The sequence below is a fragment of the Homo sapiens genome, chromosome 4 (genome assembly GCF_000001405.40).
Source record: "Homo sapiens chromosome 4, GRCh38.p14 Primary Assembly".
Classification (NCBI taxonomy): domain Eukaryota; kingdom Metazoa; phylum Chordata; class Mammalia; order Primates; family Hominidae; genus Homo; species Homo sapiens.
The window spans coordinates 123,825,732-123,838,620 of NC_000004.12; the positions used below are offsets into that span (position 1 = coordinate 123,825,732).

The 12,889-nt window shown below is 37.9% G+C and overlaps 1 long non-coding RNA gene across 2 annotated transcripts in view, besides 1 other annotated feature; it reads left to right on the forward strand.

Annotated features, from left to right (window-relative positions):
- The window catches only part of LINC01091 (long intergenic non-protein coding RNA 1091), a 280,788-nt gene that overhangs the window by 175,741 nt on the left and 92,158 nt on the right, over window positions 1–12,889 (forward strand). For both annotated transcript variants that reach the window (NR_027105.3, NR_027106.2), the window contains one exon: window positions 3,364–3,456. This is a non-coding gene — a long non-coding RNA (long intergenic non-protein coding RNA 1091). The remainder of the gene's footprint in view (window positions 1–3,363; window positions 3,457–12,889) is intronic.
- Window positions 6,703–6,997: a silencer, noted in NCBI's record as "tiled region #6240; K562 Repressive non-DNase unmatched - State 24:Quies". NCBI's record gives its function as "represses a minimal TATA promoter and a strong SV40 promoter by Sharpr-MPRA in K562 cells {active_cell/tissue: K562}" and the evidence as "EXISTENCE:reporter gene assay evidence [ECO:0000049][PMID:27701403]".

The window sequence follows — 12,889 nt, forward strand, 5'->3', positions numbered from 1 at the left end:
AACATACCATGACTCAAGATGAGTTTCTTCTGTTTTGTGGAAACACTCCCCAAGAGGTGAAGAGGTGACTTCTATCCCTCCCCTTTGTCTAAACATCTCAGTCCCGGAGCTCACAATTATTTCTAAAGAGTTTCTAGCTGTTCTCACCAGGAGTGTGTTGAGCCCTTATGCAAGTAAAACTTCAAGAGGCACACCTAAACTTGTCTGAAAAGTCTCCTGAAGATCCTTCAAACAACTTTTCTCTCCTTTCTTTTTTTCCCAGTAACCTCTTTACTCCTTTCCATGAAGATTTCCATGCCTCAGAACAAAGTTGACCTCATCTTGAAGACAGGATAGAGGGGAGATAATGCCTGTCAACATCTATCACAAAATGTTGCTCAACTTACTGATGAATTAATAAAAAGTCATCTGTACTCTCTTCTGAAGCCCATCATCTGCTCCTGTAAGCCTTATTTCCCACTGTTCTTCTATATAGTGTATGCTCTAGTCAAAAATTTGACTCTTGCTATCATTCATTAATTCCTTCAATCAGTGAGTGTTTTTGAGTGTCTGCTATGTGCCAGACACTATTCTGGCCTCCAAAGATCCATTAAAACAAGCAAAACAAAAACCAGACACATTTCATGGTCTCATGGACCCCACATTCTAGTATAGCCTGGGCATTCCAGCTTTGTGTCTTTCTCTTCTTTAGTGGTCCCTCCTTAAGTATTGCCAGTCCTAACTTTCAACTGTTCCCTATGTTTCAAAGTTGTCTTGAATCCACAAAGTGCCTTATTAAGAGTAAGTTAATAGACTTACTCTTAACACTTGCAAGGTTGCGAGGCCTAGGATTGAAGTATGAATGAAATCTACATACTATTTGTATAAATATTTAAAAGATACAAGTTTAGCTGAAAACTCTGATAGCTATACAATTTCAAAATTTTAAAAATGTGTAAGGCTATGGTGTTTATTTTTCTAAAAGTTGGCAAAGTATCCAAGATTACTACGTGTATTTTTGAGCATATTTGGCTATTCTGTGTTGTTTAGCTCTTAAAAATTTTAAATGTTTAATATTGCAGACTGTTGCTCAGCTTCTATGTGCTCCTATTGCAAACATACTAATTTACTAAAGTATGAATGTGTCCACATGCCACACCTGGAACCTGTGGAGAAGAATAGCCCAGCAACAGCTGGGAAAGATGCTTCATTATAAAGAATCCTTTGCACCCATACTGAAAAGAAGAACTGTACAAGTTAATTAATTTGTGTTTTCTCTTACCTAACTCTTCTGCTGCTCACATCTTTCCCATATAACAAAGTAGTATCATCTCTGAAGTCAGCAGCAGCTGGCCTCATGCCATTTCATACCATTTTCATGCAGTCATCTTTTGTTCTGGGGACAAATGACAAGAGGTTTGAAGAGTTGATTATTTGGGACTTGAAGGAGGTTTGACATGAGAACCTGCATTTAAAACCACAGATTGGGCTCTGCTTGCTGGACCCCAGGTGACGATATATCCACGTATTCTGTTATAAATTTGGGTTTGTATGTTCATAATGTGTGGCACTCTCTAAAGTGTGAGGCCCAAAGGAGGATATTCTTACACAGGCCTGAAGGTAATACTTTCTGAAGGAAACTTTACTTGGACTAGGAGTGATCTATAATTCTGAAATCTCTAAACACTGCATTTTTTTTGTAATGTCTGGAAAAATGTGAGAAATGCTATAATACTTTGCCCATATGTCATATCTCCTCATAGAAAAAAAGTATTTTATGAGTATGAAAGTAATTTATTTGTTTTTTCAACCACCATCTGTGCACAATAGATTCAAGATTATAGAGTATTGTTTAAAAAAAAATTGAACAGCTAAACTAAGTACGAAAATGCAAATAACTGTAATTCATAATCCTTGCTTTCTTAAACTTAAGAATAAGTTTTATACATCTCTGTGACAGGGTAATTAACAACCACCACCAAATGGCAAATGTGAATTGCAGTGTGGGCGGGAGAGGAGTGAGGGAAGGAAGAAGAGTAAGAATCAGTTTAGTTTAAGAGGAAATTAGGAAATACTAATGGGAAGGTTCAGAAGGAAATAAGAGTTACAGGATTAGAGGTCAAGGCAGAGATTAGGGTTAGTGAATGATTTCTGCATTGTGGTTCAGAATTATAATAATGATATTTGCCTCTGTGGTGGTAATCAATACATTTCATAAGTGTTTCCTATGTGTCAATGATTCTATTGAATATTTTACATGTACCAGCTCATTTAGTCCTTAGAACCACATGAGGTTGCTGTTACCACAATCCTTCTCTTTGAGATCATATAAATAAGGCTTTGAGATGGTTACTTGCTAACAGAGCCAGGAAGTGAACCCAGGTGTATCTGACTGCAAAGCTTCCTTTTAATCACAAGGATATTTGAAGTCATTGGATAGGATTCAGGCTCCTTGGAATAAGGCAAAGAAAAATAAAAGAAGAAAAGGACAGTTAGAGAATGGTAACATCTTGGAGAAGAAAAAGAAGCTTTATTAATTTGGCTAACTTATGAGTGAACAAAATCCCACTTGAATTGATTTAAGCAAAAGAGGGGATTTTAATGGAAGGCTAAGCTATGAAAGAATGGGACAACCATGATTGGAGAAAGGTCAATATCTTTTATAGTATCGAGAACCAAACTCCAGCATCAAGCTTGTTTCCCTGTCTCTTAGCCGTGCTTCTTTTCTCCATATGTCAAGCTCATTCTTATCTCTTTCTAAAGAGTTTTTTCCATGTGGCAAGAACTCAGGTAACCAAAATTTCCAAAATTTTATAGCTTATGATTTCAGTCAACAGAGTCACATTGGCATGACTCTTTGGCTCTTGAGTCCAAAAATCAGGACGAGGTACTAATTGTCCCTGCCTAGGTCAAGACATACCAATAGTATTAGGATGCTTTTTGCTGCACAACAAAAAACATGAATAACCTCTTATTGTATATTTTTCTTACATAACAAGAAGTTTAGAGGGAGGGGTTCTAGAGTTGGTCAGGGCTAAATGTCAAGGGGCAGATTATCTAGGATTCTTTTAGCATTCTGTGTGGGTAGAAGCATTAATGCCGTTGTTGTCATAACCATATCCTTATGGTAGCATATGAAGCAGAAAAGAGGCAGGAAAAATAACTCTCCTTGTGTGACATTCTCTTTTTATTTGGAGAGAAATAACTGCATTTCAGGGTTAATGGGATCTGAACCTAATACAATTTTGGGATCTTCTTTAAGAAAACCAGAAAAATATTAAAATTAAAAATGGGGCACAGGGCTTTGACTGGAGTCATTACGAATGTTGGCCTCTAAACTTCCTGGTAAATCAAGTTTCTGTTGAATTTTCTCCTTTGTTTCAGTGGTTGGACTGAGTCCCATGAAGCCAGATCACTTCTGACTGCAAGGAGCTTGGAAAAGCAAGTATCTGGATCTTTTACCAGCTAAATTTGGAGGTAGGTATCTACCAGACTAGGGAAGAAGAGAAGAATGGCTGTTGAGTGCAGATCAATTTGTTTCCACTGAAGTCTATGGTTGAAATATTTATGCATAGCTGAGATATAGAATTGTGCTGTAAAATGTGGTTGATTTGGTGGTAACTATGTGGATAGGTGTGGTAGGTTGAAGTGTCCCCTGCAAATTTATGTCTACCTGGGATCTCAGAATGTGACTTTAATTGGAAATAGAGTCTTGCTGATGCAATTAGTTAAGAATTTTGAGATGAGTCGTACTGGGCTTTCGGTGGGTGCTAAATCCAATGGCTGGCATCCTTATAAGAAGAGAGGACACACACACACACAGAACAGGCCATTCAAAGATGGAGGCAGAGCTTGGGGTTATGCTGACAGGAGCCAAGGAATGCTGGGGGGACATTAGAAGCTGAAAGAAGCAGGGAAGGATTTTCCTCTATAGGTTCAGAGGATGCATGGCCCTGCTGACACCTTGATTTCTGGCTTCCAGCCTCTAGAACTGAGAGATAATTAATTTCTGCTGTAATAAATCACCCAGTTTGTGGTCATTTACTGTGGCAACCTTAGGAAGCTAAAGCAATAGGGTGAAGGGCAGTTATCAGAATAAGGGGATGTGGTGCTGGTAGACAATCCCAAAGGTGTCCACTGCAGAATTTACAAAAGGAGCTTAGCAGTAGGTGGAGTCATAGCTACAGAATGAGAGCCAGGTTGGTATATAGCCTTGATGTTATGACAAGGCATGAGAATGTCAGCACCAGGAAGAGTGAGCACTGAGAAGTTGAGAAAAGAGGGAAGTCATGATGAGACAGGAGGACAAGCACCTAGCCTTTCATCTAGACAAACTAATTCCTAAGCATTTCTACCTCCTTCCTGAATCTGCCTGTGAATGTCCTTCATGTGAAATGCTCGTCACCTCACTCTGCTTGACTAATTCATTGCCCTTCCCTTTGTGAAACTGACATTGAAGGTACACTCCTTCAGTGTTCATGTCGTTGGTGTGGTGTACATGTGTGTGTGTATGTGTATAGAGTGATACTTTCACAATTTTTTAGATTTCTTTTTGTGATAGGATATTCTTTCTTTCTTTTTTTTTTTTTTTTGAGACAGGGTCTAGCTCTGTCACCCAGGCTGGAGTGCAATGGCGTGATCTCAGCTCACTGCAACCTCCACCTCCCAGGTTCAAACAATTCTCCTGCCTCAGCCTTCTGAGTAGCTGGGATTACAGGCGCACGCCACCACACCCAGCTGATTTTTTGTATTTTTAGTAGAGACAGGGTTTCGCCATGATGGACAGGCTGGTCTCGAACTCCTGACCTCAAGTGATCTGCCCACCTCGGCTTCCCAAAGTGCTAGGATTACAGATGTGAGCCACCATGCCTGGCTGTGGTAGGATACTCTTGAAGTTATTTAGGACGTGTTTAATTAAAGACAATGGCATGCAATGTGTATCTTGTGGAGTCTGAGCAAAAAAAAATAAGAGACACTGATATTAAATTTTATGTATAAGTCTTCTGTATTTAAATACAGTGATTTAATAAAATCTGTTATTTGGAGACGGAGAAGTATTTCATGTATTTTCATTTTAGACATAAAGGAAATCAACTCCTTTGAAGTACCAAAATTTATAACTTAAATTGTTTTGATATAAATATACCTAAAACATATTGTATAGTTCTCTGGATTCTTATACAGAATGCATCTTCTCCCTGCTGACCCAGGGTCAACATTATACACATCCATTATTGTTCTGTGTGATATTATAATGTTCTGGGGCCTCTTTCCTAAATACCCTGACAATCATGCTGCTCTTTTCTCTTGCTGTGAGCTGACCAGCTGTGCCCCTGCCTGTTGCCAGCACGCTCCCCTCTCCTAGATCCCTGTCTTCCTCTAGTGCAGTTTTTAATTCATCGTGGCCTGGGAATCCAGATAACATAGCTAATTAGAAATGATCTAAATGTAAGAGTGAATGCCCCTGAGGGAGCATCTGTGGCCTTCTCTGTGAGTTTCTATGGGGATCTCTCCTTTGCGTTAGATGCCGTAAGCGTTAGTGTATGGATGGCAGACCTGTTTTTCCTTTGCTTCTCAACACTCAATTAGATCCGTGTAGCTAATGAAATTCATGAGAGCATGCAGCAAAATTCTGTATAGGAAGGTTTTTTTTTCCTTCTTTACATAGTTTCCCATGTTCTAAATTAGTTGTTTTAATGTTATCTATGTGTTTTTGTTTCATTTTAGGGTATCAGTGGGATAATATTAACTGCCAAAATAATTCATTAGTTGTAAAGCTCCATCCTGGCTAAACTGTGGATAATGTGCCTCTTAGCTTAGACTGCTGAAAAGTCATTATGGTCAATGACTGACCCACAGCCACCATGTGAAAAACCTGGGTTTAACTAGAAAGTAAAAACTGCTGGAACAACCTGATTGTGCCAAGAGGTAGTATGTTAAATCTATGTAGAAGTAGCAGAAGTTACAGGAAAAAAGCCAGTGATTACCAGGGTGTCACATTGTTTATGAACCAGGTTGCTGAGTCTTTGAATCTGGAGATGATAATTTAAGTCAAAATTTCAAGAGTAGGAATTCTGAGGTCAGAATCAATAGTGTAGTTGGGTATAAGTCATTTGAATAAAAAGCCGGCTTTTGAGCTTGACCCCTTTTCTCTCAGTTCCTTTTCCTAATTATCCTACTTTTCTCAAAAATGTCACTCACAAACTCTTTTGCTGTGAGAGTTAATGGTGAGGTGCATAAAATACACATACAAGTTTCAAAAGTGAAGTATAAATAGCCATAGCCTTTCAAAGTATTATTCAGGTTTAGGAAAACAAGTGCCTTTACACATCATTCGAGCACCCGAGGATGATTCTACCTGCAGATGGGCCTTTAAATAAGTGTGAGTTTGCTGCTGCTTCTCAACTCCCAGTTGGATACTGAAAAAAAAGATCTTTCTCAATTTCCTGTTCTTGTGCGTTATTAAAATCCTTCTGTTGCCCCCACTGCCACCCCTGCCTCTTTCTTCTTTTCCCATCTTTTTGTGTGGAGGATGTTATCCACAGTTCCCAGCAGTGATGATGCATTTGAGTCAGGAGGATGAGATTGTGACCCAGATACAGTGCATGAGAAATGAGTGATGGGAAGAGAGAATGACATGACGGGGGGCGGAGGGGGGGGAGAGGGGGGAGAGAGAGAGAGAGAGAGAGTGAGCAGTGGTGAAGGGTTATGAGTTGTACAGTTATTTCTAGCTTTGAATGGTTTCCAAATCTCATACATTCACAGACAACCTCGCCAAAGCCCACAGCTGTCATGCATTTTCAACAGATTCCACAGGGCCTAGATGAGGTTTGAAGGCATTCCTTTGCTCTTACACATTAGCTAAAAGGAATTACCGTAACATCTGATATTGTGGAAGTGGGACATTTGCCATCCTGACCTTGCCCAAAGCAGTCCGGAAATAGGAGTCTAAGAATGTATTATCTCATATGGCCCCTAAAGGTCACCAGGGGCCTGTCGGTGGCATTCTGAGAAAATCCAAGCACCCAATATGCTCTGCATTTGGAGAAACTGGGCTGCTTTGTATGGGCACAGTGGGCAGACACATGTTCCCATTGCTCGTTGGATGTTTGTCATAGGAAAGGCATGTTCCACTGGAGAAATTCCCAGCTGTCAGTAATGTGCTGATATACCACAGCCAATCATCAGAGGATGAGCCAAATAAACAGGATGTTCACAATGTGTGTGATTGCATGAGTGTGTAACAAAACTTCTGCCCATTTCACAGCCTCATAATGGGATTGACATGCATTGCTTAATGCATCTGTCTGTTTAGGATAGAAAGGCATAAACACCATGGAAACCATGTGTAAGAAAGCCCTTTCTTTGGCTATATGGGCTGTTGATATGATGGGATGAAATCTGGTATAAATTGGGAAAGAACATTGCTTTAATATTATGAGTTTACTTGCTGGGAAGTGCCTTGAAGTCATCCAAACACAGATGAGAAGGAATAATCAGATAATCAGTAGCTATTGAGAGTTAACAAAAGGGGCTGAGTTGATATGAATATTTTTACATACCAGTGGCGTCATCTTCATTCTTTCTTCTTGTAAGACACTCATTAGTTGAATTATTTATATAAATGTACAGAAATGAGTCAAAGTTATGTCATTGCCCTTTTTGTTTGGATATGCTGCTACTGTTAACAATTAGTTTCTAAATATATTCCCGAGGCAGCAATTTGGGAAGGGGGAGTAGTGGTTCCTTCAACACTCATGTGTAGATAGGTTCTTGGAAAAATAACATCAGGTATCCTGTTAAGTGTCAGACCTTTTACTTCTCTGAGCATTCAAATCCCCTTTGCTCAAGGTGGCACATCCATTCATGATAATAACAGTAATAAATAAGATTTATTGTACATTTCCTGTTTGATGGTACTGAGCTAAGCCTTTAACATGCATTAACTCTTTTAATTCTCACAAAACATATAAGATTGATACTATTATTATTACTATCATAATGATAAGAAAACCAGCATTCAGAGAAGATAGTAGGCTTTTAAGAAGGTAGAGTTAGTGACAGAGCAAGCTGGAACATGTATTTGAGTACTGAATCCATGCATTTAACCATTTCACTATGTTACCCTTGTGTGTCCCTGCTCTATGTGAAATTTGATTCTATTACAGTCTCTGGTGTTAATTATTTTATTGCATTGAAATGTGATTTGTATTTCCTTGAACAGGACTAATGCACAAATATAATTTTGGTATCCTAGGGTCCATCTGTATAGAATATTTCACCAACCTAGTACAGTTGAGGAACATGCCATGAAGTCTTTGTAATGATTTTTCTCTCTTGTTAAGTTTTGGTCTTTTAATTGTGGTTATTATGTGCTGCTTTTCAAACATTGCCCAAGATGCACTGATTTAGGAAAAAATCATATGTGCCAGGATGCTACCTCCTAATAATATTAACACTTTCAATAGGTTTTATGGATAAACACAGCAGGAAAGAAAAGGAGCTCTGAGTGTACAGAATCTGTGTGTTTATATTGGTTTATGAGATCGTTAGAGACTTGTATTGTATCATCTGGTAGAAAGCAGTACCACATAATGGTTAGGACTTGGGCTCTAGAGTTTCACTACTTAACGATCTGTGTGACCCTGAGCCATTTCATTGATGTCTCTGAGCCCACTTCTTTCATCTGTACAGTAGGTATAAGATAATAATTTTTATAAGATTATTGTTAGGATGAAATGAGAGAATCCCTGTAAAATTCATGGCTCCTAATAAGTATTTTAAAGAATGCTCTGAAATGCCTTTCAGCACTCTTCATTGCCAATCCTTGTACTGTTTCTCTTTGAGTCCTTATCACAATTAGACATGCTGTATTACACTTGTTAAATGTCATCTCCCTAAACTAGAATATAAACTCCCCAAACTCAGGTATGTGTCCTTCTCTCCCGTGCCCTCATTGCCTAGAACAGCATCTGACACAAGCTAGGCCCTTATGAATATTTGCAGATAAATAAATGACAGCTATTTTATTATCATCATTATTATCACTATTACTATGGCTCTTATTACCATGTGTTTCAGACTCAGATACCATGCTTAAGAAAATCCTAAAAATACTGTTTAGATTTGAATAGTTACCAAGAGGCTTACGAAATATTTGATTTCTGATCATAGAAGTTTATAGGAACATCAGAGCACATTGAGTTTAACCTCTTCAATTTATAAAATAAAAGACTTAGAATACTCCAAGGCCAAGTGATGTTAATTGGTCTTACTTGAGTCAAGAATTACCAAGTGGCGGCAGGGGCGGTGGCTCACGCCTGTAATCCCAGTACTTTGGGAGGCCGAGGCGGGTGGATCACGAGGTCAGGAGATCGAGACCATCCTGGCTAACGAGACCATCCTGGCTATCATGGTGAAACCCCGTCTCTACTAAAAATACAAAAAATTAGCCAGGAGCGGTGGTGGGCGCCTGTAGTCCCAGCTACTCGGGAGGCTGAGGCAGGAAAATGGCGTGAACCTGGGAGGCAGAGCTTGCAGTGAGCTGAGAGCGCTAGTGCACCTCGGCCTGGGCGAAAGAGCGAGACTCTGTCACACAAAAAAAATAAAAATTAAAATAAAAAAATTACCAAGTGGCAAGTAAGAGCTGGGATCCAGGCTCCAACCCCAGTCCAGTAAGCGCTCTTTCTGCTGTGCTCTACTGACATCTAACTTGGATACCAATATGGCTGTCCACTCTTCAGCAGACCAGGCCTCAACGAAACCATGGCCCTACTTTATCATTGCATTTTACTCCAAACTTCTTGTCCCCTTTTGTTGACTAGTCATGGCTGTATCTTCCAGGTTTTTCACAGGAATGGAATTTCTTTTTTGATGATAAAATGTGCACTAGTGACAAGTCATACATGGAAATGGCTGAGAACTGCAAGACACTGCTTGGGGCCAGGTAGAGATGCCCCTCTGCAGATAACTCAGTGAAAATTGGATACCTTTTGTCAGCTCTATTTGGAGTCTTTTACTGGATTTGGGATCTCCAAAGCATTTCATCCTGAGAGAAAATCAAAACAAAAGCTATAAAGTTTACTACTCCTCTAGCTTAGAGCTGTCCAGGAAGAAAAATGTATGAATTCATTCAATCAACACTTACTAAGAGATAGTAAGAAATGGATGTGTGTGGATGGTATTTACAAATATTTTCAAGTTGCATCATTTTCCCTCAAGGAGTTTATAGTCTAGCAAAAGATGGATTTTTCCAAATTAATCTTAGTGGTATATAACATGATAGTGAGAACATGGAGAGAGGAAATGAAAATAAAATTTTGAGGCAGCTTGGAGGAGGATGAGATTACTTCCAGATGGTGAATTGAGATGTTCATGGAAGAGGCAGCATTATAACTAGAATGATGGATCAGCAGTATTCTTCAAATTGCATGCAGCTTAGATCAAATATATTTTAAAGGTGATTTCTTAGGAAGTTCGTTTACTTCCTGACATTTTATATTCTTCTGTATGCCATATAACAGACTCAAATGTATATAATGTAATGTAAGTGCCGTAGCTTATTTCTCACAAGGAGGCATTTATTCGAGACATTGTTATGTATTTTTTGCATAGCCACAATTATAAATATTTACATGAGTTTATAAATAATAGCGTACCAAAAGAAAAAGAAATTGTATCTGGTACTTACACACATACAATATTTGGAGGCTCTACACATAGCTAAGATTATTTTTGGACATTTCTGATTTGACTTACATAACTGTTTATGCTTAAGCCACAAAAGGTTTTCAAACTAAAGTCCATTATGATAATAGTGTGATGTATCAAAGGCATCCATGAGCTGAACTCATGTTCTTATACTAAAAGTCTTGGAAAACATTTACAATGTTTACAATGCCTTCACACACTTTTTTTCTCCTTATGGATGTATCTTTCTACTTAAAATAGCTGCATTTATTTTAGTAGTTGATCTCTTTCCTGGAAATTATTTTCAAAAGTAAATACAATTTTAGTTAAATAAATATTTTAAGTTTTGCTTCACATTTTCAATGTATTAAGCACTACATGGTAACTAGAAAATTGAAAGTTTTTATTAATTTGATTAATGTAAGCCATATTTTACATTCAGCAACCCCAAATTAAATAAAAACAATCATAGAGGAATTATAAAGAATGTGATTTACATCAGTTTAGTGCCGGGATGGCTTTTCATTTTCTAATCTTCCCTTACCATTTCGACTTTGCCCTGTTCCTGGTCAGCTGGGAAGTTATCTGCTGTGGGGTTTCCTGTTTGCCTGTTGCTTTTCTACCTTGGGGTGCTGTAGCTACCCATTTGGCTTGCTCGCTCCTAAAGCTATGACTGCAGCCATGTAGTCTTTCGTGTTTCACTTGAAACATGCTGACAGATGTGCTGACTGAACATTTTAACCAGTACACTTATTGTGGCTTCTTCTGAAGCTGATTAAGCTACCAAAACAATTCTATGTTCTTCTGCTGATTAAGCTACCAAAACAATTCTGTGTTCCTCTGAAGAACAAAGAAAGGGCAAAACCAAAAACATGAATCAAATAGAGCCAATATGGAAGATGTACAGCTTTAACAGAACATAAGAACTGTGGTGTTCAGTGGCTTTTGGAGGCCACATTCTTTCATGTGGAGAGAACATGGAATGGCTTACTGTCTTGCTATAGTTTGCTTTTACATTAGCACTAGATCTTACACTGGATTAGTCATTACTATTTGTAATGAGTCAATAAAACTTAAAAAATACCTTGGGACAGTTTTTCTAAGCTCAGGAAAATATGACTATAGCTAGGAGAATGATTTATTTCCAATTATTTATTGAGCTGCTATTATGTGATGAAGACTTATTTAAAGAGTAAATATTTTTGCAAGACATAGTCCCTGTCCAGGGGAACTGGTACACCATTGCTGAAACTGGTGTGGGGTCTTGCATGGTTGAAGGAAGTCAAAGCTCTAAGCCAAATTAAGGATTTTCTGGTTGCTGATAGAATATTAGAACTGAAAGGTCTTTCAGATATCGTCTACTCCTCTAATTTTATTTTATGAATATGGTAACTATAATTGTTACTTGTCAAAGATCACCCGGAAATTTAGCAAGAAAGTCATATATGAACATATTTTTCTTTCCTCTAAATCTGATGTTTTTTTCATGATATGACATATATATTTATATTAATTTAAATGGGTCAAATGTAATTTAATTTTACTTTTATTAGTTTAGTGTATGTATGTATATGTATATATAAAACAGTAGTTCTCTCTGGAGATTGGCATTGTACATATACATGTATATATATACACACACACACATATTCTTTGCAATAAAAATGAGATCACATTTAACCTACCATTTTGTACCTCACTTTTTCATCTAACTATTGCATGAATATTTTCAATGTGAATGAATATGTTAAGAATATTACTTTTATTGGGACTGCAAAATAGTCTATTCATCTTGTATTTTACAACATTTTACTTTGATGTAACTTTTAAACACGTTATTTGAGGTCAATATTTCCCTTTGTAAATCATTCTGCAATGAAGATCCACATAATTATATATTTATTCTCCATTCTTTCCTTTATATTTCCAGACCTAGAGTTTCTGGGTCAAAGGAAACACATACATGCAAGACTTTTGATCCACAGTGGGCCCACCAACAACACTTTCCACTCCCAATTTAAAAATCCATAGTTTATATTCAGTGCTGCAGGACTGTAAAATCCATCAAGGGTTAACAGGTCTATAAAAAAATCCAAACAAAACTTCTCAGCCAGAAATATGAAGTCACAATGGCTTAGCATCCACCCAGCAGGGCTGTCATTTCCTGAAATGTATTAGATGGACAGGTGGCATCGATTAAGCTCACAGAAGAAAAGTGTTT